General features: G+C 45.8%; 3 pseudogenes across 1 annotated transcript in view, besides 1 other annotated feature; 2 read left to right on the top strand and 1 right to left on the bottom strand.

Annotated features, from left to right (window-relative positions):
• GTF2IP20 (general transcription factor IIi pseudogene 20) overlaps nucleotides 1–16,462 on the top strand; it is a 41,379-nt pseudogene extending 24,917 nt beyond the window's left edge. Inside the window, exons 7-11 of the transcript NR_132119.1 lie at nucleotides 6,496–6,560; nucleotides 13,061–13,251; nucleotides 14,858–15,060; nucleotides 15,286–15,343; nucleotides 15,437–16,462. The product of NR_132119.1 is annotated as a general transcription factor IIi pseudogene 20 (transcript). The remainder of the gene's footprint in view (nucleotides 1–6,495; nucleotides 6,561–13,060; nucleotides 13,252–14,857; nucleotides 15,061–15,285; nucleotides 15,344–15,436) is intronic.
• Nucleotides 18,335–20,170, bottom strand: CICP5 (capicua transcriptional repressor pseudogene 5; annotated as a pseudogene).
• Nucleotides 18,628–19,127: an enhancer, noted in NCBI's record as "H3K4me1 hESC enhancer chr1:224136303-224136802 (GRCh37/hg19 assembly coordinates)". NCBI's record gives its function as "activates a minimal SCP1, AML or CMV promoter by ChIP-STARR-seq in naive H9 embryonic stem cells {active_cell/tissue: H9 hESC(naive)}" and the evidence as "EXISTENCE:reporter gene assay evidence [ECO:0000049][PMID:30033119]".
• SEPTIN14P15 (septin 14 pseudogene 15) lies at nucleotides 22,020–24,614 on the top strand (annotated as a pseudogene).

Genomic DNA, 25,694 nt, shown 5'->3' with positions numbered 1-25,694 from the left:
TAGTAGAGATGGGATTTCACCATGTTGGCCAGGCTCCTCTGGAGCTCCTGACCTCAGGCAATCTGCCTGCCTCAGCCTCCCAAAATTCAAGGAGTACAGATGTGAGCAGCCACGCCCGGCCTCCATTTCTTTTTTGTAGTCTTTAATAAACAGCTGCTATCATTGCAGACTTGCTGTTTAGGCACTTAGGAATTTTTCACTAGAAGGCGTGTAAATAAAGACCATGGGCAATTGTAATGAATTTAGCGTTCATTCTTTGACTACATGACTGTCCCCAGAGCTGTAACTTTATTGAATTTTTTAGAAGCCATTTAGCTAGCAACTGAGCCTAACCAGCCACTCACCGTCATTATTCAGTGCTCTTTTATTATTGTCTATTTCTCCTCCAACTTGGCTACACTCACAAAGTGATAAAAACTTGCATTTGTTTTCTTTCCTTTTCAGAGACAGCGTCTTGCTCTGTTGGTCAGGCTACAGTACAGTGACATGATCATGGTTCACTGTAGCCTCAAACTCCTGGGCTCAAGCGGTTCTCTCACTTCAGTCTCCCAAGTAGCTGGGACTACAGACATGTGCCACCATGTCCAGCTAATTTTTTATCATAGAAACGGGATCTTGCCACGTTGCTCTGACTGGGCTCAAAACTCCTGACCTCAAGTGATCCTCCTGCCTCAGCCTCCCAAAGTGCTGGGATTACAGGCAGGCATGACCACCTGTGCCCAGCCCCCTATTATTATTATTTTAAATAATAGCTTTATTAAAATATTCACATACCATTCACTTTATTTATTGAAATCTGCAATTCAGTAGGTTTTAGAATATTCACAGAGCTGTGCATCGATCACCACAGTCACTTTTAGAACCTTTCATTACCCTATAGAGAAATCCATACCCCTTAGCCACTACCTCCTACTCTCCCCACCTACCTTCGCCCCCAGCCTTAGGCAACCATTGATTAATTTTTTTGTCACTATAGATTTGCCTAATCTGGACAAATAGAATTGTACAATATGTGATCTTTTGTGGCTTTTTTTCCCTCTTAGCACAGTGTTTTCAAAGTTCCTTTATGTCATAGTGTGTATCAATATTTCATTCCTTCTATGGCAGTATTCCATGGTGGAGACACACTGCATTTTGTTTATCTGTTCATCAGTTGGTGGATATTTGGGTTGTTTCCATGTATTCCATGTATTGGTCATTATGAATAATGCTGCTATGAAGATTGTTGTACAAGTTTTTGTGTGGACATATATTTTTATTTTTCTGGGATATATGCCTAGGAATGAAATGGTTGCATTATAGGATGACTGTACATTTAGCCTTTTGAGAAACTGCCAGACTGTTTTCTAACGTGGCTATACCAGTTGGGTGCAATGGCTCACACCTGTAATCCCAGCTACTCAGGAGGCTCAGCTAGGAGGATGGCTTGAGCCCATGAATTCAAGACCAGCCTGGGCAAGATAGTGAAACCCTGTCTTGATTTTTTAAAAATCCAATTAAAATGACAAGAAAAGAAATACCCAAACAAAATGGTTACACAATTTTATGTTCCCACCAGTAATGTATGTGGGTTCCAATTCCTCCACATCTTCACTGACATTTTTTTTTTTTCTAGATAGGGGCTTGCTCTGTCTCTCAGGCCGCAGTGCAATGATGCCATCACAGTTCACTGCAGCCTTGACCTCCCAGGCACAAGTGATTCTCTCATCTCAGCCTCCTGAGTAGCTGAAAATTACAGGTGTACGCCACCATGCCTGGGTAATTTTTATATTTTTCTGTAGTGATGGGATTTTACCATGTTGCCCAGGCTGGTCTCATACTCCTGGCCTCAAGTGATCTGCGCACCTCAGCCTCCATAAATTCTGGAATTACAGGCTGCCACCATGCCCGGCCTTCACCAACATTTGCCATTATCTGTTTTTTTTTCTTCCTTTATACCTTAAAGCAGTATAAGAACAAGTGTCTTCAATTATAGGAAACAGTATAATCCCAGGGCATTGGGAGGCTAAGACAGGAAGATGTCTTGATGCCAGGAGTTTTTTTTGTTGTTGTTGTTTTTGTTTTTGTTATTGTTGTTGTTGTTTTTGACAGAGTCTCGCTCTGTCACCCAGGGTGGAGTGCAGTGATGGGGTCCACTGCAACCTCCACCTCCCAGGTTCAAGTGATTCTCCTGCCTCAGCCTCCCGAGTAGGTGAGACTACAGGTACACGCCACTACTACCCAGCTAATTTTTGTATTTTTGATAGAGTCAGAGTTTCACCATGTTGGCCAGGCTGGTCTCGAACTCCAGACTTCAGGTGATTTGCCTGCCTTAGCTTCCCAAAGTGCTGGGATTACAAGCATGAGCCACCATGCCCAGCCTGATGCCAGGAGTTTTAGACTAGCCCGGGCAACCTAGCAAGACCTTGTCTCTACAGAATATTTAAAAATTAGCCAAATGTGGTGGTGCCTGTGTATAGTCTCTCTCCCTTTCTCTTTTTTTTTTTCTTTCTAACTTTTTGTGACATAGTCTGGCTCTGTCACCCAGGCTGAAGTGCAGTGGTATGATCATGGCTCACTGCAGCCTGAAACTCCTGGGATCAAGTGATCAATCCTCCCACCTCATCCTACTAAGTAGTAGGGACCACAGGTGTATGCCACCCAGGTCTTGCTATGTTGTCCAGGCTGGTCTTGACCTCCTGGCCTCAAGCAATCCTCTCACCTTGGCCCCCCACAGTGCAAGGATTACAGGTATGAGCCACCATGCCTGGCCCCTACCCTGCCTACTGAGAACCAAAAGAAGGATCTAAATTCTCCTTAGCTCAACTCGAGCCATTTCCTGATTGCTTCATCAGCAAGGAGCTGGTTATTGGGCTGTCCAGGCTTCCCAAGCAGCACAGAAATGAGGTGAAGGAGTTTTCCTGTTGCTCCACTCTGTAAGGAGTTGGAGGGTGATGTTTACTCATTTGCAGAGAGAGATGCCTTGTAGGCACCTCAGGATGGAGAGGACCCTGATTCCAATGTCCTTTTTTTCTTCAGAAACAGGACCTTGCCCTGTCACTCAGGATGGAGTTCAGTGGTCCTATCATGGCTCATTATAGCCTCAAACTCCCAGGCTCAAGCAATCCTACCATGTCAGCCTTCCCAGTAGCTGGGACTACAGGTAAGCATCGTGACACTCAGTGAATTTTGTTTTTGTTTTGTTGTAGAGATGGGACCTCAGTATGTTGCCACGGCTGACCTTGAACTCCTGCACTCAAGGGATTTTCCTACCCTGGCCTCCCAAAGTATTGGTATTACAGGCATGAGCCATTGTGCCCACCGTCTCTGGTTCTTAACCTTCTGCCTCCCTCTTCCAGTTTTAAAGAATGCTTGTAATTACATGGGCTCTCCTAGATACTCCAGGATAATCTTGTTTTAAGGTCAGCTGATGAGCAACATTAATTTTATCTGCACTATTAATTCCCCCTTCCTATGTAATTGTGCTGTGTAACATAGGACATGAGCAATTGGTGGCGGTGGGGGTTATTACTTTGGCCACCACAGTAACTATTTTATGCCAGGTACTCAGCTAAGCACTGGTGAATTAAGCATGAATAACACACACTCCCTAATCTCCATCCATTCATGGGAGGAGCACTTCACCTGCCATGCTCCTGAGAATCTCGGGAGTCAGAGAAGTCTTCTATGAGGAGGTGATGCCAAAGCGGACAAGTGACAGAGGAGTCAAAGCTAGCTAGGAAGGGAGTAGAGGTTTAAGGGGAAGCATATTATAAGCAGAGGATATTACCCACTTCAGAGACTCCCAGAGGAGAAAGAGTGTGCGTTCAAGAGGCAGATGAGGCTCAGTTGGACTCCATAGCAGATGAAATGGAGAGGGGCAAGCAGTGAGGCTGCCTTGCAAGGCAGGGCAGAGCAGGGGCTGTTAAGGAGTTTGGACTTAATCCCTGAGGCAAGGAGAAGTGATGTAAATGGAGGAGTAACATGATGAGATTCATGGATTAGAGACATGGCTCAGGCTGCTGTAGAGAAGGCACCAGGGAGAGCAGATGGCTCAATGGGTGTGCAGGAGACCTCTCCCTGAGTTTAGGGAGAGGTTTTTAAAACAGAAGAAGTTTGAGTAATTTAAATGATGATGGGAAGGAGCTAAAAGTGGGGGATAGGTTAAAGATACAGGAAAGCAGGAGGAAGAACTGACAAGTGAGGTTCCAGAGAGGGCAGGAGAAGAGGAGATTCCCATAGGGGGATTAACACTTTCTTTTCTTTTTTCTTTCTAAGACAGGGTCTCACTCTGTCGCCCAGGCTGGAGTGCAGTGGCACAATCTTGGCTCACTGTAGTGTAGACTTCCCAGGCTCAAGGGATTTCTCCCACCCCAGACTCCCAAGTAGCTGGAACTATGGGTGTGCACCACCACCACACCTGGCTAATGTCTCTTTTTTTTGGTAGACACAGAGTCTCACTATTTAGCACTGATTGGTCTCCAACTCCTGGCCTCAAGCGATCCTCCTGCCTAGGCTTCCCAAATTGCTGGGATTACAGGCATGAGCCACAATGCCTGGCCTCTGCTAGTTCCGTATTCTCTAGAGTTGTCTTTACTTTGTGCTAGTGTGTCCCTCATTGTGCTGATCCTCTGTAAAAATTAATACCTTTTTTTTTTTTTTTTTTTTTGAGATGGAGTTTCACTCTTGTTGCCCAGGCTGGAGTGCAATGGCACTATCTCGGCTCAGCGCAACCTCCACCTGCCGGGTTCAAGCGATTCTCCTGCCTCAGCCTCCCGAGTAGTTGGGATTACAGGCATGTGCCACCATGCCCAGCTGATTTTGTATATTTAGTAGAGATGGGGTTTCTCTATGCTGGTCAGGCTGGTCTCGAACTCCTGACCTCAGGTGATCTGTCTGCCTTGGCCTCCCAAAGTGCTGGGATTACAGGCATGAGCCATTTTGCCTGGCCAAAATTAATACTTTTTATATTAAATTTACATATATATATATATATATATGTTTTTTCTTTTTGATACCGGGTCTCACACTGTCACCCAGGCTGGAGTACAGTGGCACAACCTCTGCTCACTGCAGCCTCCACCTGCCAGGCTCAAGCAATGCTCCTGCCTCAGCCTCCCGAGTAGCTGGGATTACAGGTAAGTGCCACCACACCCAGCTGATTTTTGTGTTTTTTGTAGAGACGAGGTTTCGCCATGTTTCCCAGACTGTTCTCAAACTCCTGAGCTCAAAGCAGTCCACCCACCTTGGCCTCCCAGAGTGCTGGGATTACAGGTGTGAGCCATCTTGCTCATTCTAGTTTAAACTTTTGAGTAGTTTGTGTCTCCTGATTGGACTCCTACAAATACAGAATTGATGCTAGGAAGGGTACCAGGAGATAGACGCACACAGATGGGATTTGGGAATAGGTTTGGTTATCCAAGGAGCAGTGCTGAGCTCCTTGCTAATGGGATATGGGATGCTGGTGATTTCCAGGAAGTGAGCTCACAATGACTCAAGCTGCCACATAGTGTTGATTGTGAAATGCCAGTTGAAGCATATGTCCTGCGAGCTTGGGGGTGCTACAAGTTGACCACTGCAGCAGTAAAGATGACTCTGAAGAATGGCGTGGGATGGATCCTTTCAAATGCACTTGAGCAGCAGTCTCCAACCACAGGGCCACAGAGCTGGAGGTGAGCAGCAGGCGAGTGAAGGGAAACTTCATCTGTATTTCTAGCCCCTCCCATGGCTTGCATGACCACCTGAGCTCCATGTCCTGTCAGATCAGCAGCAGCATTAGATTCTCATAGGAGCACAAACTCTGTTGTGAAGTGTGCATGCGAGGGATCTAGGTTGTGTACTCCTTATGAGAATCTAATGCCTGATATTCTGTTACTGTCTCCCATCACCCCAGATGGACAGTCTAGTTGCAGGAAAACAAGCTCAGAGATCCCACTGAGTCTACGTTATAGTGAGTTGTAGAATCATTTCATTATATATTACTATGTAGTAATAATAGAAATAAAGTGTACAATATATGTAATGCACTTGAATCATCCTAAAATTATTCCCTCACTCCCAGTCTGTGGAAAAATTGTCTTCCACACATTCACTCTGTTTTTTGGTAGAGGCAGGGTCTTAATATATTGCCCAGGCTGATCTCAAACTCCTGGCCTCAAGTAATATACCTCTCTCAGCCTCCCAAAGTGCTGAGATTACAGGCATAAGCCACCACCCTCAACCAAGACTTTCTTAAACCAAATAAAAATTAAGTGAGATTACTTGAGCCCAGGTGGTCAAGGCTGCAGTGAGCCTGATTGCACCACTGCACTCCAGCCTAGGTGACAGAATGAGACTGTCTCAAAAAATAAAATAAAATACAAATTAACCCTTTATGACATTCCCAGTAACTTCCTAAGTGCTCCCCACAAGTCTTTGAATTCTGTTTAATTTTCACATAACATTTGAGACATTTAAGAACTTATGTCTGTCTGTGTCATCCCTTTATGTCAAAAGATGTCTTTTTGTCACTTCCAGCTGGATCTACCATGAAAGACTTCTGAATCCAGGAAGAGAGACTGACTGGGCAACATGTTATTCAGGTACAAAAAGATTTGGACTGTAACTTAAAAATGATCAAATAATAGTGCATGCATCAAGTGCAATGGGAAGCTCCACTGGAGAGTGAGAGAAGCTTCCAGTTAAGGTGACATTGAAGCCAAGTCCTGAAAGATGAGGAAGAGTTGTATGAGAGTGGGGAGGGAAGGGGGAGGTGGAGGGATGGGGAATGGGTCGGGATGGGATAGCATAAACTGCCCGGGAAGGGAAACCAGCACTGTACAGAACTGAACAACGAAGATGGCATATTTTGTTCAGGGAATGGTGAATTAAGTGTGGCAGGAATGCTTTGTAGACACAGTAATTGGCTTGTATGGAATTTTGCCTGAGAGACCTCATTGCAGTTTCTGATTTTTTGATGTCTTCATCCATCACTGTCCTTGTCAAATAGTTTGGAACAGGTATAATGATCACAATAACCCCAAGCATAATATTTCGTTAATTCTCACAGAATCACATGTAGGTGCCACAGTTATCCCCATTTTATGAATGGAGTGATGAAAACCTTAGGAATAATGAATGATTTGCGCAGGCTCACCTGGCTATTAAGACTGAGTCAAATGTTGGGTCTGGTCTGACTTTAATGTTTGCTTTGTTCATGAGCACCACATATTGCCTCTCCTACGCAGTTAAGCAGGTAGGTGACAGAAAAACCCATGTTTGTCTCTACTCACACACTTCCGACTGAATGTATGTATGGAGTTTCTACACCAAATTCTTCAGTGCTCTGGATATTAACTGGGTATCCCATGACTTTATTCTGACACTACCTGGAGTTAGCACAGACCCCACAAGTTAGGGGCTCAGTCCCACGAGGCCATCCTCACTTCAGATGCCAATGGCAAGTCCTAAGTTGTCACCATACTTTTGACCAACCTGTTACCAATCGGGGGTTCCCATAACTGTCTTCTTGGGTTTAATAATTTGCTAGAACAGTTTACGGAACTCAGAAAAACAGTTTATTTTCTTTTTTTTCTGAGAGAGAGGGTCTTATTTTGTTGCCCAGGCTGGTGTGCAATGGTGCAGTCATAGCTCATTGCAGCCTTGATTGTCTGGGTTCCAGTGGTTCTCCCACCTCAGCCTCCCTAGTAGCTGAGACTACATGCCTGCACCACCACATCTGGCTAGTTTCTTTTATTTTTTGTATAGATGGGGTCTTGTTGTATTGGCCAGGGTGGCCACAAATTCCTGGTCTCAAGTGATCCTCCCACCTCAGCCTCTGAAAGTGCTGGGATTACAGATGTGAACCACCACATCTGGCCAGTTCATTTCCTATTACTGGTTCATTGTGAAGGATACATCTCAGAAACAGTCAATGAAAGAGATGTGCATGCTGGATGCAGTGGCTCATGCCTGTAATCTCAGCACTTTGGGAGGATCGCTTAAACTCAGGAGTTTGAGACCAGCCTGGGCAACATGGTGAAAACCTGTCTCTATAAAAAATTAAAAAATAATAATAATAACTGGTGTGGTGTTGTGCACCTAGAGTTCCAACTACTAGGGAAGCTGAGATGAGAGGATACCTTAAGCTGGGGACTGGGGAGGCTTAGGTTACAGTAAGCTGAGGTTGTGCCACTGCACTCCAGCTTGGACAAAAGAGCCTGATCCTGTCTCAAAAAAAAGAAAGATACCCAGGGCAAGTTAAGTTCGGAGGGGCACAGAGCTCCCATGCCCTCTGTTGAACATGCGGCCCTCCCAGCATCTCCTGTGTCCAGCAACCCTGAAAGCTCTGCAAACCCCTTTCAGGGTGTTTATGGAGGCTTTATTATGCAAGCATGATTGATAAAATCTTTGGCTGTTGGTGATTAAGTCAGTCTCCAGCCCCTCCTCCTCCTGGAGTTCAGTGCATGAGGCTGAAAGTTCCAAGCCTCTTACCATGTGGTTGCATGGTAATCAGCCCTCCTCTGGAAGAAATTTAGGAGCTTGCAGTCACGCAGTCATCTCAACAACATCCCCAAATGCATTCTTACCATGCTGGAGATCCCAAAGTTCTTAGAGGCTCTTGTGTTAGAAACCTGGGACCAAGACCAAATATTAAAACAAAAGATGTTCCTGTCACATCTATCACTGAGGTCTTTGTAAGAGCTTTAGAAGCTCTGTGCCAGGAACCAGGGACAGAGATTAAATATATATTTCTTTTCTTTTTTTTCAGACAGAATCTCCCTGTGTCATCCAGGCTGGAGTGCAGTGATGTGATCATAGCTCACTATAGCTTTGGCCTTCTGAGATCAAGCAATCCTCCCATCTCAACCTCCCAAGTAGCTAGGACTACACATGCATGTCACCCATGCCCAGCTCATTTTTGTAGAGTCAGAGTTTCACCATGGTGGCCAGGTTGGCCATGTCGGCCAGATGGGGTCTTCTTTTGTTGCCCAGGCTGGCCACAAATTCCTGGGCTCAAGTGATCCTCCCACTTCGTCCTTGTAGAGATGAGATTTAGTTATGTCGTCCAGGCTGATCTCAAACTCCTGGGCTAAATCGATTGTCTCACCTCAGCCTCTCAAGTAGCTGGGACTACAGGCGCATACCACCATGTCGGGCTAATATTTATTTTTATTTTTTTCTAGAGGTGGGGGTCTCACTGTGTTTTTCATGCTAGTTTCAAACTTCGGGCCTCAAGTGTTCCTCCTGCCTTGACCTCCCAAAGTGTTGGGATTCTGGGTGGGAGCCACCATGCCCAGCAATCACAAGGGTCTTTATAAAAGAAAGAGAGTAGGAGATTCAGAATTGGAGCAGGAGATGTGGTGATGAAAGCAGAGGTAAGAGAGGGAGATTTGAAGATGCTTCACCTCTGGCTTTGAAGATGGAGTCAGGGGCTATGATCCAAGGAATGGGGGTGGCTTCTAGAAGCTGGAAAAGCCAAGGGAACATATTAGAGTCTCCAGAAGGAATGCAGCCCTGCTGACACCTTGACTTTAGCCTTAATAGACCTAGTTTGGGTTTCTGGCCCCTAGAACTGTAAGATGGTAGATTTGTGGTGTTTTAAGCCACTAAATGTAGGAAACTGCAAACTATGTTGCAGCAGCAAGAAGAAATGAACATGAAGCCAGGCATCATGGCTCATGCCGGTAATCCCAGCACTTTAGGAATTTAGGCAGGAGGATCACTTGAGGCCAGGAGTTCAAGACCAGTCTGGGCAACATAGTAAGACCTTGTCTCTACAAAAAATGAAAAAATTGGCCAGGCGTGGTGGCTCACACCTGTAATTCCAGCACTTTGGGAGGCCGAAGCGGGCAGATTACCTGAGGTCAGGAGTTCGAGACCAGCCTGGCCAACATTGTGAAACCCCGGCTCTACTAAAAATACAAAAATTAGCTGGGCATGGTGGCATGCACCTGTAATCCCAGCTACTTGGAAGGCTGAGGCAGGAGAATCACTTGAATCTGGGAGGTGGAGGTTGCAGTGAGCCGGGATCACACCGTTACACTACAGCCTGGGCAAGAAGAGTGAAACTCTGTCTCAAAATAAAATAAAATAAAATACTAAAAAATTTAGCCAGCCATGGTGGCATGAACCTGGAGTCCCAACTACTCGGGAGGCTGAGGTGGGAGGATCGCTTGAGCCTGGAAATTTGAGGTTGCAGTGAGCTGTGATTTCGCCACTGCACTCCAGCCTTGGTGACGGTGAGATCTTGAAAAAAAGAAAGAAGAAAGTAAAGAAAGAAGAAATGAGCATGGTGGGCATGGGGACAGATGGCAATGTTAAGTAGAATGGTCAGGGGTGGCCTCCTAAGTGAAAGTTGAGTAAAGACTTGAAGGAGGGGAAGGAGGTGGCCAAGGTGCTGAGGGAAGAGGATTGTAGGCAGAAACAATAGAATAAAGTGTCTGAGGTGTGTCTGAGGCTCTGGAAGGAGGCCCATGGAGCAGATGGAGAGAGGGAGAGAATTAGGGGAGGGAGCCAGGGAGTTGCTGGGTGGGGATCAGTACAGATCACATAAGCCCTGGGAGGTTATTGGTGGGGCTTTGGCTTTTACTCTGACTCAGATGGAAACTGCGGGAGGGTTCTGAGCAGAGAGGCGACATGATCTGTCTCCCGATTTAAAAGCATTCTCTGGCTGCTGAGTTGAGAAAGACTGTGGGAAGATGTGATAGAAGCATGGGGGCCAAGCTTTGGCAACATCCAGGCGGGAGATGATGGTGGTCCTGACCAGGGTCGTGGTGGTGTTGAGAGATGGTCAGAGGGGAGAAGTAGGGGAGGAGGCCAGGGAGTTGCTGGGTGGGGATCTTTAGTACATGTCGAAGACAGTCAACAGGATTTCCTGACAGACTGGATATGGGGTGTGAGAGAAGGCAGGGGTCAAGGTTGAGTTTGATTGTTACTGAAATTATTAAGTAATTTTAAAAAACACTACTGCCTTTCCCAATCCTACCAAGTATGGGATGCTAGATTAAGGAAATCTCTTCAGGCTCATTGCAGTGGCTCATGCCTGTAGTCCCAGCTGTCTGGTAAGCAGAGGTGCAAGTATCTTTTAAGGGCAGGTGTTCAAGACCAGCCTAGACAACACAGCAAGATCTGCTCTTTACAAAAATATTTTTCAAAATTAAATAAATGTAGCTAGGCATGGTGATGTGTACTTGTAGTTTCAGCTACTCAGGAGGCTGAAGTGGGCAGATCTCTTGAGGTCAGGAGTTTGAGGCCAGCTTGGGCAACATAGCAAGACCCCTCACTCTACAAAAAAATTAAAAAAATAACCAGGCACGGTGACACTCAACTGTACTACCAGCTACTGGGGAGCTGAGGCAGGAAGATGGCTTGAGCCCAGGAGGTCGAGGCTGCAGTGAGCTGTAAGTGCACAGCTGCACTCCAGTCTGGGTGACAGAGCAGGACCTGTCTCACAATACAAATAAAAATACAAGTAAAATAATATCTCAAGTCAGAGCCTTTTGGCTCTGCAGCCCTTGCAACCCCTCAGCCATGCAGTGGGGTTTGCGTCCCTGGGAATGAGGAGACCCCTGCCCGGTGTTGTTGCCTGATTAATCAGTGTTTTAAAACATATATTAATCAGGGTGGGTGCAGTGGCTCACACCTGTAATCCCAGCAATTAGGGAGACCCAGGCGGGTGGATCACCTGAGGTCAAGAGTTCAAGACCAGCCTTGCCAACGTGGCGAAACTCCTTCTCTACTAAGAAAATACAATAATTGGCTGGACATGGTAGTGGGCGCCTGTAATCCCAGCTACTTGGGAGGCTGAGGTAGGAGAATCGCTTGAACCTGCGGGGTGGAGGTTGCAATGAGCTGAGATTGCGCCACTTCACTCCAGCCTGGGCAAAAGAACAAGACTTTGTCTCAAAGAAAAAAAAAAGTGTTATATCAACGTGTAATGGTTTTATTATTAATATGTAATGAATATTAAATATTTTTAAAATCTTGTATTATATCAACATGTAATGGCTTTAATATGTAATGAATAATATTTTAAAAATTGTGTCTTATTTTCTAGTTTTAATATAATTATCTGCAGAAAGAAATAGTCTTAGAGATCTTCAATAAAGTTAAAAAATGTAAAGGGATGTTAGACCCCAAAAGATTGAGAATTTCTAGTTTAGAAATATTCAGAGTAAGCCACATACAACTTGCTACTTGAACTATTTTTTTTCTTTGCTTTTTATTTTAGGAGATGGGGTATCACCCTGTCACCCAGGCTTGAGTACAGTAGTGCTATCACAGCTCACTGCAGCCTTGAACTCCTGGGCTAAGGATCCTCCTACCTGAGCCTCCTGAGTAGCTAGGACTGTAGGTATACATGACGATACTTGGCTAATTTTTAAATTGTTTTGTAGACATGGGGTCTCACTTTGTTGGCCAGGCTGGTGTCAAACGAATGGCCTCAAGTGACCCTTCCACCCCTGCCTCCCATCCTAGAGGTATGTGCCACCACAAGGAGCACTTGTTCAATTTTCTAAAGGAAAAATTTCTAAAGTAAGGCTGTGGGATGATGGCAGGAAGATAAAAGAAAAACAGAAGAATAAGTTAAAATGACTTATTCACACATATTCTTTTGACAGCAAGAAGAACTTTTAGTATATACATTCCTTACAAACAAACAAAAGGCAGATAAACAATGTTGTATAGGAACTTCAACACACACTGTACAATATTCCCACTTTGCTGACATAAGTTATGGAAATTTCATGGTTTACTTGAGTGTCGCTACCAGTATTTTGCTTCTCTGATGATTTTTATCAACTTCCTCATCTGTTAACTTCTCTCCAAGGTATGTCATGTCACAACATACTGCCGCTGCACGAACATGGCCAGTGTCTTCCTATTAAACATGTAGAATGCTTTCCTAATTTCTCTTTTTACTCTCTGTCTTTGTGTTCTGCATTTTCCTTACTTTTATTGTCAGAAACTCCAGAAAGTCAATCGTACTAATTTATCACGATTTGCTTTATTAATTTATACTTTGCTTATATGGAATTTTGCCCAGCAGACCTCATTACAATTTCTAACCTGTTTTATTTTGTTTTTTTTTCTGAGACAGGGTCTCCCTCTGTTGTCCAAGGCTGGAGTGTAGTAGTGCTATCACAGCTGACTGCAGCCTCAACCTTCTAGGCTGAAGCGATCCTCCCATCTCAACCTCCCACGTGGCTGAGACTACAGGTGCTTGCCACTATGCCCAACTAATATTTGGAATTTTCGTATACGTGGATTCCAGAGGGGTGACAGCGAAATGTGAGTAAGCATGGATTTTGGTATATGCAGAGATGGGGGGCTGGAACTAATTCTGTATACTGAGGAACGACTGTATATGTTTTTACAATTACGCTGTAGGATACATACTGTTGCATAGCCTTGAAAATAATAATTTTTAATTGAGTGGAATAATAATAATATTGATAAAAGTAGCAGCTGGCCAGGTGTGGTGGCTCACACTGGTAATCGCAACACTTTGGGAGGCTGAGGCAGGAGGATGGCTTGAGGTCAAGAGTTTGCGATAGGCCTTGGAAACAAAGGGAGTCACCATCCCTACAGAAAAATACATGAATTAGCCTAGTGTGGTGGCATGTTCCTGTAGTCCCAGCTACTTGGGAGGCTGAGGTGGGAGGATCACTTGAGCCCAGGGAGGCTGAGACTGCAGTGAGTCATGATCAGGCCTCTGCACTCCAGCCTGGGTGACAGAGTGAGACCCTGTCTCAAAACAACAAAAAAGTAGCAGCTAACATCAACTGACCTTTTACCAGGTGCCTATTGATACCATAGTTTAATTTCTTATAACTGTTTCTTATTTCACTTACCAACTCTGTCTTCAGTTACTCCCAGATTTTTACTGTGTGTGTACAGATGACCTTTTGTTTAGATTGAATTGTCTCCCCAGAAGTAAGATTACTGTGAGTCATGGTGAATGGACATTCTCATTACCCTTGATGTAAATTGACAGGGTTTTGGGTGCCTCCTAGCTATAATCTTAGCACTTTGGGAGGCTAAGAGAGGAGGATTGCTTGAGGCCAAGAGTTGGAGGAGGCAGTATGGCAGTATGGTGAGACCCTGTCTCTATTATTTTAAAAAATTGACAGGCTTTACCCTGGAAGGCTTATACACAATTTAAACACCCCTCATAGTATAAAAAAGTGCCCATTTCACTGCACCTTTGCCAGCACAGGGTATTATAATTTAGTAAGTCATTTTTTGTTTGATTATTTTACATAGACAAAAGAACTCATATTACTTTACTTGTCACATTTCAACATCTTTCCTCAGCTTATTAGCTCTATTTCTTTTCTGTCTGTAAATGGTTATTGTTGTTTTGTTCTTTGAGACAGGGTCTTGCTCTGTCACCAGGCTGGACTGTAGTGGCATAATCATGCCTCACTGCAGCCTTGACCTCCCAGGCTCAAACTTCCGCATTCCGAATAGCTGGGACTACAAGTGTGCACCACCACCCCCAGCTAACTTTTTTCTTCTTTTGGATAGAGACAGGGTCTCACTGTGTTGTCCAGACCGGTCTCTAGCTCCTGGCCTTAAGCAATCCTCCTGCATTAGCTTCTCAAATTGCTGGAATTTCAGGCATGAGCCACCGTGCCTGGCCTGGGCTAGTCCTATATTCTCTAGAGTTCTCTTTACTTTGTGCTAGTCAATCTCTCATTATGCTGTTCACCTGTTATAATGAATAATTCTCTGTATTAAATTTTACCACTTTAAACTTTTGAGTGGTTTATGCTTCCTGATTGGACTCTGACTAATATGTTAGGAAGGGTCCCAGGAGATAAACCCACACAGATGGGATTTGGGCAGTGCTGAGCTCTTTGCCAGTGGGAAATGGGATGCTGGTGATTTCCAGTAGGTGACCTCACAGTGACTCAAGCTACCACTTACTGTTGATTGTGACGAAATGCCAGCTGAGGCACATGCCTTGGGAGCTAAGTGGTTGCTGCACTTGACCACTGTGAAGACTGGTGTGGGAAGAAGGGTCGTTTCTGATGCACTTGAGCAGGGGTCCCCAACCCCTGAGCCATGGAGCCGCAAGGAGCCACACAGCAGGAGGTGAGTGGTGTCGAGTGAGGGAGTGAGGAAAGCTTCGTCTGTATTTACAGCCACTCCCCTTTGCTCACATTCCCGCCTGAGCTCCACCTTCTCAGATCAGCAGCAGCATTAGATTCTCATAGAACGCACCCTGTTGTGAACCGTGCATGTGAGGGATCTAGGTTGCGCTGTCCTTAATGAGAGTCTAATACCTATTGATCTGTCACTTCCTCCCATCACGCTCAGGTGGGACCATCCAGTTGCAGGAAAACAAGCTTAACACGCCCACTGATTCTACATTATGGTGAATTCTATAATTATTTTATTATATATTACAGTGTAATAATGGAAATGAAGTGCCTAATAAATGTGAATGTGCTTAAATCTTTTGGCCCAGCTCCTACCTCCCGGCAGCCTCTCCAGGCCCAGAACTTTCTCCAGTCAGCCTCTACAGACCAAGCTCATGACTCACAATGGCCTATTTAGGCCCATACCCTACCTCACGGCAGTCTCCGCAGATGAGCCTACTGCCTCACAACAGCCTCCACAGGCACAGCTCCATCGTTACAATGGCCTCTTTAGACCCAGCTCCTGCCTCCCAGCCTTCTCTCCAGGCCCTGAACTTTCTCAAGTCGACCTCACCAGGCCCAGCTCATGCTTCTTTGCAGCCTCTCCAGGCCCAACTCCTGCATCTTGGTGGCCCCTCCAGGCCCAGCCTGTGCCTCCCGTCGGCCTCTACAATCCCAACATCTGCCTCACAGCAGATTCTTCACGCCCAGCCTCTGCCTCACAGTGGACCCTCCAGACCCAGATGGTGTCTCACTGTGGCATCCTCAGGCGAAGCTCCTGCCTTTCAGCAGCCTCTCCAGGCCCAGCTCCTCCTGCCTCCCAGTGGCCTCTTTCGGCCCAGCCCAGCTCATGCCTCCCGGCGGCCTTCCCAAGCCCCGCTTTTGACTTTTGGTGGCCTCTGCAGGCCTCGACAAGGCCCAGCCTCCTGCCTCCCGAAGGCCTGCACAGGCCCAGCCTCTGCCTCACAGCGGACTCTCCACGCCCAGCTAGCTCTCGCCTCACTGCGGCCTCCCCAGTCCAAAGCTCCTGCCTTTCGGCCACTTCGGCAGGTCCAGCTACTGCCTGCCAGTGGCCTCTTTAGGCCCAGCTCATTCCTCACAACGGCCTTTCCAGGCCCCGTTTTTCCCTTCCGGCAGCCTCTTGGCTTCTAATTTGTTTATCTTTTGTGTATAAATCCCAAAATATGGAATTTTGGAATATTTCCACCATTATATATTTTGGTCGGTAATTTATTTGGAGTGAGTTTCTGCACCATGCCCGAATTTTTTATTTTATTTTCCTTATTATTTGGTGTTAAACAGGTTTAATGACAGTCATGGCAACTTTTTGGCACAATGAAAAATATCGCCCATGATCAACGTGTTCTGTTCTGGGGAAGGGGGCAAAGGCAGGGTGAATCACTTTCTTAAAAAGTATAGCTCAAGTTGGGAGTGCAGAGGGAATGGGGAGAAAACCCTCCCGCTGCCTGTGTCGAAGTGCAGGAGCCCCCACCCCCATACTCACCTGAGTCCAGCCCCTCTGGGGAAAGAAGGGGTGCATGAACTCCCCCTAGTCCACAGGCGCCTCCCTGTGGCCCAAGGCCCTCTTCACACTCCATCTTGTAGCCCCAGCAGGAGCTATTTTCTGAAAAGTGAAAAGCTCTGAAGGTCCCACAATTCATGGTATGTACAGGGGCTCGGAGGAGGGAAACTGCCCAGCTTTCCCCCGGCACAGCTGCAGGGGTAGGGGGTATAGATAAGAGGAGCAGGCCTTGGCCAGGCGTGGTGGCTCACGCCTGTAATCCCAGCACTTTGGGAGGGGGAGGCAGGCAGATCACGATGTCAGGAGATCGAAATCAGCCTGGCCAAGATGATGAAGCCCCGTCTGTACTAAAAATACAAAAATTAGCCGGACGTGGTAGTGTGCACCTGTAATCCTAGCTACCCGGAAGGCTGAGGCAGGAGAATGGCGTGAACCCAGCGGGAAGAGGTTGCAGTGAGCCAAGATTGCACCACTGCACTCCAGCCTGGGCAACAGAGCAAGACTCGGTCTCAAAAAAAAAAAAAAAAAAAAAAAAAGAGGCAGGCCTTACTCCGTCCCAAACTGAAAGGATTAAATGGCTTTACCTGGGAGAAGATAACCATCCTGCCCTCCGTTGCTACCCTCACATACTGTCCATGTTCTCAAGGGGTACTGTGAGTCCTGGGATCTTTGGGGTTGCCCACCTGCCTGTGGTAGTTATGGAGACCCCCAGGTGTTGAGGCAGGGCTGGGGTGTCCCCTTCCAACCAGGCTGTCAAGGCCCCAACTCTGGGGCAGAGGCAGTGGCAGGGCAGCCAGGGTTGCGCCAGAGCCTGAGCAGATTGAGGTGGGGTCAGGCAGGGCTGGGAGTCAGGGCAGGGGCAGCAGCAGTGGACCCGCTATGCACACATCTTCTCCAAGGTTTGTGTGCAGAACATCCTGCCCATGCTGCCCCAGCAGCTTCAGTTGGCACCTGCCCCAGTCCAGCCTCTGGGAACCACGCAGCAGCTCCCAGCGGCCCTGCACCCACCACCAGCATCCGTTTCACCTGCAGTTGAAGATCCGTGAGGTGCCCAGAAGATCATGCAGTCATCAGTCCCACGGAGCAGCCCGTGAGGCTGAGGCTCCTCCCACTGGACCGCCCCCCGACTGGCACCACTGCTGCCCCTGCCCCTACTCTCAGCCTCACGTGACTCTCGGGCAGAGGCAGTGGTGGGGCAGCCAGGGCAGCGTCAAGAGTCTGAGCCAGGTGAGGTGCGGTCAGGACCCCCACAGGGCTGGGAGTCAGGGCAGGGGCAGAACAAACCTTGGAGGGGAAGATGTGTGCATAGTGGGCCTGGAGGGTGGCTGTGGCCTAGTGGACAGGAAGAAGCAGTGGGCCTGGAAGAGCTGCATGATCAGGGCCGGCACTGGTCCAGGGCACGTGCAGTGAAGAGGACAGCGCCTTCTCGGTCTCCGGTTCCCTGAGCCTGTCCTCGGCTTCTCCACCTGTACAGGCAAAGGGGAAGCTGTCCCCATCACACATGGAACACTTGGGGGTGTTGGGCTTTGGACTGCAGCTGGAGCATCTTCTCATCTTGCATTTGGGCGTGGTGGGGTCCTCCAGTGTGGGGGATCCATGTCCGTGGGGTTCCCTCTGCCCTGACCCCGAAAGCCCAGTCAGTTTCTCTTCAGGCTCTGCCCCCCGGGTGGCTCAGCCCAGCTCCTGCCTAGGAAAGCCTTAGTGTTGGGAGGGACCCTGATGACTGAGGAGCCTGGTAGCTCCAGGTCGCCCACACTTTCTGGTCTCTTGCACCAGAAGGTGGCAGGATCCATTGGGAGGAAACAGGTCACCTTGGAAGGCGTCCCTGGGCCCCCATCCCCAGGGGTAGGGGTCATAGGGGGCCCGCTCTGCTGTCTTGACCAGACTCCTGGGCTTTGAAGGCTCCTGGGCCCAGTAAGAAGGAGGTGGGTGCCAAGGTTGAGGGGGAAGCATCCGAGTATGTGTAGGAGGAGGACAGGGTGGGACCATAGACTTTGCCAAAAGCTGCTGGTGGATCGGGGGACCCTGGGGGCTCAGGATCTAGCAAGGGGGCGGCAGGAGTAAAGGAGGAAGGAATGACAGGTGCAAATACCTTCCCACCAAAGCCCTTGTTGCCCTCTGGCTCCTCCCCAGAGTTGTCCCCACTCTCAGTCGGTCACCCACTCCTTGAACTTGAGATCGGTGTCAGTGGTGCTAAAGCCATCATCAGCAATGACATCATCACCCCCTCCTCCTCATGGATGACCGTGTGCTCCTCGTCACTCGCTATGTCCTCACTGGCCATGTGCTGGGAATGAGCAGCTCAGGTGGGCAGCAGCAGGGCTGCCCACTGGTCACCTCCCTCACCAGGGGCTGCAAAGTGGCCTGGAGCTCCATACTGAGTAGAAGGCTTTGGGCCAGAGTATGATGCAGTGCCAGACACTACCTGTGTCAGTTCCCGTAGTGCCTGACGGTCTATTTCCCTGCCTTCCAGGCTGTGTACCCCGCTGTGGGAGAAGGCTTGGGCCAGGCTGAGCCAGGTTTCCTGACTGTGTGCAGCCGTTCTGCCCCACAGAAGCTGCTCCTTGGTATCTGAGCTCTGGAGTGTTTGGGCTGCAACTGACAGGAGTTCAGAGGACACCCCAGGGGCAGTGGCAGTGCCTGTCTCTGATATGCTCCGCTCCCACGAGCCCTTGTTACACTCCTGCTAGCCCCTGGCTTGTGGGCTTGGCCTCTGAGCTGGACTTCTTTCGGTCCTTGTTGCAAGTGGGCCACCTTCACCTGGAAGGCCAGGTCATGGTATTTCTGTGTCTCATTGGGCCCCAGGATGTACCACCGCTCGCTCAGCATCTGGCTGATGGTCCGGTTATCCTGGTTGGGGTGACCCTGGTGCGCCCTGCCAGGGCCTGGTGCCGCTTGCTCAAGATCATGACCGCCACTCATGGGCCACCAGATGTGGTCCTTGTCCCATTTGTTGGGGCTGCGTCCATCCTTCTCAGAAGATGAGTCCTGTTCCTTGCGCGGGGCAATGAGGGACTGGGCCTGACATCATCTGAGCGGTAGAGGCAACTGGGTGTCAGGAGACATGATGGAGAGGAAAGCATCATCATGGTCATTCTCTGTGTCACTGTCCAGCAGGGACTCCCCTGAGGGGCCCAGGGCTCCTCCTCCATGGTGGGAGGTGAGCTTTTACCAGGTTCCACCACCCCCAAAGTGTGTGGGGTTGCGGGCCCTGGGCTTTCAGGGCAGGTGGCTCCAGGGGGCCGCCCAGGGTCAACGCTCCCTGTCCCACCTGGTGGACACTCATGAGCAACAGCTGCCAACTTGGCAGGTTGTTTTCTCTGGTTGGAGGCCACTGAGTGACTGGCAGGTTGCTGGGCCTCGTGTGGCTGCAGGGAGGGGTCAGGAAGGGGATGGAGTACCAGGGGAACATGGCCACAGAGTGAACTTCCACATTCCTCCACACGAACATGCTGACGCCACGGGAGGCCTCACTGAACGCAGGCCTGGGGGCCGAGTACTTGGTCCGGGCAGGGGGTTCCTGGCAGGGGCTCACACCTCCTCGCCCCCTCCTCAGCCAAGGTGGCTTGGGCCCAGAGAAGGGGAGGTTGGAGAGGAGCAGAAGGCCAGGCCTCAAGTTTTGTTTTTTTTGTTTGTTTTGTTTTTTGTTTTTGAAATGTAGTTTGACTCTTGTCACCCAGGCTGGAGTGCAGTGGCACGATCTCAGTGGCCTTCATACCTGGCTAATTTTTTGTATTTTTACTGGAGGTGGGGTTTTGCCATGTTGGCCAGGCTGGTCTTGACCTCCTGACCTCAGGTGATCCACCCACCTCGGCCTCCCAAAATGGGATTACAGGCATGAGCCACCGCTCCCAACTTCATTCATTTTTACTTGAAAAACTCCCTTAAGCATTTTTTTAAGGTAGACCTACTGGTCCTGAATGCCCTGAGCTTTGTTTGTCGAGGAAACATGTTATTTCTTCTTTCTTTCTGAAGGACAGCTTTGTCAGACATAGTATTAGTTGCTGGCAGTTTTTTTCTTTCAGCACTTTGAATGTATTATTCGATTCTGTCCTGACCTGCAAAGTTTCTTTAACTTTTGACTATTTGATTATATTGTGACTTGGTGAGTATCTATTTGGTTTGAACCTCTTTAGGAATCTTTAAGCTTCATGGATTTAGATGTCTAAATCTTTCCCATGATTTAGGCAGTTTTCAGCCATTCTTTAAATAAGCTTTCTTCTCCTTTCTCTACTTTCCTTGTCAAACTCCCATAACCTGACAATGGTTTGCCTAATGGTGTCTTGTTGGCTTTCTTTTCTCTGTCTCTTTTTTTTTCTTTTTTTTTTTTTTTTGAGACAGAGTCGTGCTCTGTCACCCAGGCTGGAGTGCAATGTGTGGTCTTGGCTCACATTGCACTCCAACCTCCGCCTCCTGGGTTCAAGCGATTCTCCTGCCTCAGCCTCCCAAGTAGCTGGGACTACAGGTGTGTGCCACCACACCCGGCTAATTTTTGTATTTTTAGTAGAGATGGGGTTTTGTCATGTTGGCCAGGCTGGTCTTGAACTCCTGACCTCTTAATCTGCCTGCCTCGGCCTCCCAAAGTGTTGGGATTACAGGCTTGAGCCACCACGCCCAGCCTTCTTTCCTCTTTTTTATTCTTTTTTTCTTTGTCCTCTGACTGGATAATTTCAGAAGATCTATATTCAAGTTTACAGATTCTCTCTCCTGTTGAAGTTTACTATTGTGTTATATCACCCAGTCTGGTCTTGAACTCCTGGGCTCAAGCGATCCTCCCACCTTGGCCTCCCAAAGTGCTGAGTTTACAAGCATGAGCCACTGCATCCAGTCAGTCCCAGCACTTTGGGAAGCTGACGTGGGAGGATCACTTGAGCTCAGGAGTTTGAGACCAGCCTGGGCAACATACTGAGAACTTGTCTCTATATTTAAAAAAAAAAAAGTCTTTGGGAGGCCAAAGCGGAAGGATCACCTGAGGTCAGGAGTTCGAGACCAGCCTGGCCAACATGGCAAAACCCCATCTCTACTAAAAATACAAAAATTAGCCAGGTGTGGTGGCACATGCCTGTAGTGGTGGTGCATGCCTGTAGTCCCAGCTACTCAAGAGGCTGAGGCAGGAGAATCACTTGAACTGGGAGATGGAGGTTGCAGTGAGCTGAGATCGCACCAGTGCACTCCAGCCTGGGCAACAGAGTGAGACTCCATCTTATAAAAGGAAAAAAGAAAGAAAAGACAAATTCCATATCTGAGTGTTTACTCCTGAGTTTTTGAGATTGTTATTAAGATCGTGCTCTACTGTGATGATTTGGGTTTGCTTGATAATCAGAAAAAAGCATATTCTTTTGGGTGTTCAGCCCCACTGCTTTGGTGTCACAACTGCACATTGGTTTCACAGCTGCAGGACAAATTCGAGCATCTTAAAATGATTCAACAGGAGGAGATAAGGAAGCTCGAGGAAGAGAAAAAACAACTGGAAGGAGAAATCATAGATTTTTATAAAATGAAAGCTGCCTCTGAAGCACTGCAGACTCAGCTGAGCACTGATACAAAGAAAGACAAACATCGTAAGAAGCAAGTTTCTCTTACTATTCTGAGAGCCTTATCATTCTACATCCCATCTTCCTGTGAGATTGTCTTTGTAGCATTTAACTCTAATTGCAGTTCTCTTTTTAAAAATTGGCTTGCTTATTGTATATTTTCCCCCAACTAAAGCGTGAACTCCTAGCAGGGCGTGGTGGCTCATACCTGTAATCTCAGCACTGTGGGAGGCCGAGGTGGGTCGACTACCTGAGGTTAGGAGTTCGAGACCAGCCTGACCAACATGATGAAATGCTGTCTCTACTAAACATACAAAAATTAGCTAGGCGTGGTGGCTGGGACCTGTAATCCCAGCTACTTGGGAGGCTGAGGCAGGAGAATCACTTGAACCCTGGAGGTGGAGGTTGCAGTGAGCCGAGATCTCACCATTACACTCCAGCCTGGGCGACAAGAACAAAACTCCATCTCAAAAAAAAAAAAAAAAAAAAAGGGTGAACTTGAAGGCAGGTCCTGTGTCCATCTTTTCAGATTCTGTATCCCAGCACTTAGGACATAGACAAACACGAAGATGACGAAGATGACAATCAATATTTGCCAAAATGAAAAAACAAAAGAAACATGTAACATCATGTAAAAGAAGCTGGTTAGGTGGAGAAATTTCTTTACCATAGTCTTGCTTGTGGATCCAGTAGTGACTTTTACATTTTATATCTAAATAGAAGCTGGAGGCTTTGCTGGGGTACTCATAGGCATAAAATATGTTATTTATTATAGAGTTAAATGCTACAAAGACAAATCTAATTAATAGGCCTATTTTCCTTTTTAAGTTCTACTCATAATTTCTTCATAGTTTTTATGATAAAAAGGTTGGATTTTGATTAGAACTCCCATGCTTTTGTGTCAGAATTAAAACTGGTATTAGAATAAATAATTCAAAAGCTAGAGAAAGAGTACAATGAGAAGCCATGAGTTGCATTTGAATTATAATATTATGTCTTACAGATTTGGGGTATATGCTAAAGTTACCAAAGTTGTAGAAAATAAGGCCGGGCATTGTGGCTCACATCTGTAATTCCAGCACTTTGGGAGGCCGAGGTAGACGGATCATTTGAGGTCAGGAGTTCGAGACCAGCCTGGCCAACATGGTGAAACTCCGTCTGTACTAATAGTACAAAAATTAGCCAGGCGTGATGGTGTGCACCTGTAGTCCTTGCTACTCAGAAAGCTGAGGCAGGAGAATCGCTTGTACCCAGGAGGCAGAGGTTGCAGTGAGCAGAGATTGTGCCACTGCACTCCAGCCTGGGTGACAGAGTGCTATGAGTCACCACACCTGGTATGAGCCACCGTGCCTGGCCCACAATGACTTTTACACATGTTGTTAAATCATCTTACAGATTTTATAATTTGGGGGAAGAAAAGTTTTACTAAATGGTCTTTTAATGGAAACTCTACAAGAACCAGAATCTTTGCTTTGTTCACTTATGTATCCATTCCTAGGCCTAGAAAAATGTCTGACACATAGCGGCAATTATTCATTGAATAAATGGACCCAGCGATAGTACATTAGCTATGCTATATGCATACATTAAAGATGTAGATTATTGACTTTCAAAAGATAATTAATGTAAGTTCTTACTGCTTCTGAACATGTTTGTGAGTTATATTGCTGAGGGACCTTTATCTTCTCATTCTTTCATCTTAACCCAGTGTTATAAAATTGAAATCACCAATATTATTCCATATCTAAAATTAATATCTACCTTGTAAAAAATATCACTCTGCTGCATTTGACAATAGACTTTTTAGGTAATAATGATGCAATCCATAGGGTTTTTTGGGGGCACAGAGGGATTCATGCTAACAGAACATTTTATTTTCTATTTTCCCAGAGCTGTAAAACATGAAATTGGGGTAGTATAAGGCATATTTTTACTCTTTTTATAATTTTTTCTAAAAAAAATTAGTGTTTGTTCCCTATATAACTTTTAACTTTATAGGTAAATATTTGTCTCTTTCAGCTCCAGTTTTATGTGAAATAGAGTTTTCAGATTTATGTAGCATGGAAAGTTTTAATACGTCAGAGTTACTGATTTTTGCCATTTTCTCAATTATTTCTTTTTTATCTTTAGTTGATTTTTTTGTAGTGACACATTTTGTTTCTAGTCTCATTTCCTTTTGTTTATATTCTATGTATATTTCGTTTTTGGTTACTATGAGAATTACATATAACATCCTAGAGTTATAACATTTTAATTTGAATTTATTTCAACTTAAGTTCAATCACATACCAAAATTCTACTGCTATACATATAGCTCTACTCTTTTTATGTTATTGATGTAACAAATTATATCTTTATTCATTGTATACCAGCTAACAGATTTACAATTACATTTTATGCATTTGCCTTTTAAATTATGTAGAAAATAAAAAGCAGAGTTAGAAACCAAAATTACAATAGGACTGTTTTTACGTTTGTTTATGTATTTACCTTTACCAGAGAGCTTTGTATATTCATACAGCTTGCTTATTTACTTATATAGTTATTACCTAGAGTTCATTTATTTCAACCTGAAGGACTTAACACTTCTTGAATGGCAAATTCAGGGATAAATGGATTTTTTTTCAGTTTTAAAAAAAAATCTGGAAATGTCTTAATTTCTCCCTCATTTTTGAAGGATAAGTTTTCCAGCTATAGATTTCTCAATTGACAGGTTTCTTCATTATTTTAAATATACAATCCACTGCCTACTGGCCTTCAAGGTTTCTGCCAAGAAATCAGCTGCTAATATTATCTGGATCCCTATCTGTGAGAGTTGCTCTTCTCTCTGAGCTTTCAACATTCTCCCATTATCTTTTGTTTGTTTGTTTTTGAGACAAATAATTGTACATATTCATGGGATACAGAGTGATATTTTGATACATGTATACAATGTCCAATGATCAAATAAGGATAATTAGCATATCCATCACCTCAAATATTTGTCATTTATTTGTATTGTGAACAGTCAACATTCTTTCTTCTAGTTTTTTAAATTTATAAACATTTAAATTTTATTACAGAAATTTAAATTTTTTGATTCTGAAAAAGTCATATATGTATGCAACATCGTTTTATCATTTATTTATATATTTATGCATCTTTCCTTTTAGTTTTGACAGAGATTTTCTATTTTATCATTATTTCAAAAGAACTCTTACCTGTATTTATTTATCAATTATATTTCCCTTGTTTTTTCCTAGTATATTAATTTATTTATCTTCTAAAAATCCTCCATATAATCTGTTTATTTTGTTTCCTTTCTATAATTTCTTCAATGATTAGTTCTGTTCTATTTTCCATTAAAATATTTAAATCTCGTATGAATTTTTGTCAGATTAGAAATTTAGGGCATTTCTTAATTTCTCTATATTCTAGCTTTTGACTTTTTTTTTTCTGACCTAAGAGGTATTTAGAGCACATTTTAGATTTTTTATTTTGACTAATCATTTAAAATGTATACTAATCTTCAATTTAAATAAAAAACTGGTC

This window comes from Homo sapiens, chromosome 1, assembly GCF_000001405.40.
Source record: "Homo sapiens chromosome 1, GRCh38.p14 Primary Assembly".
Taxonomy (NCBI): Eukaryota; Metazoa; Chordata; class Mammalia; order Primates; family Hominidae; genus Homo; species Homo sapiens.
This window is presented reverse-complemented; position numbering and strand designations above follow the sequence as displayed.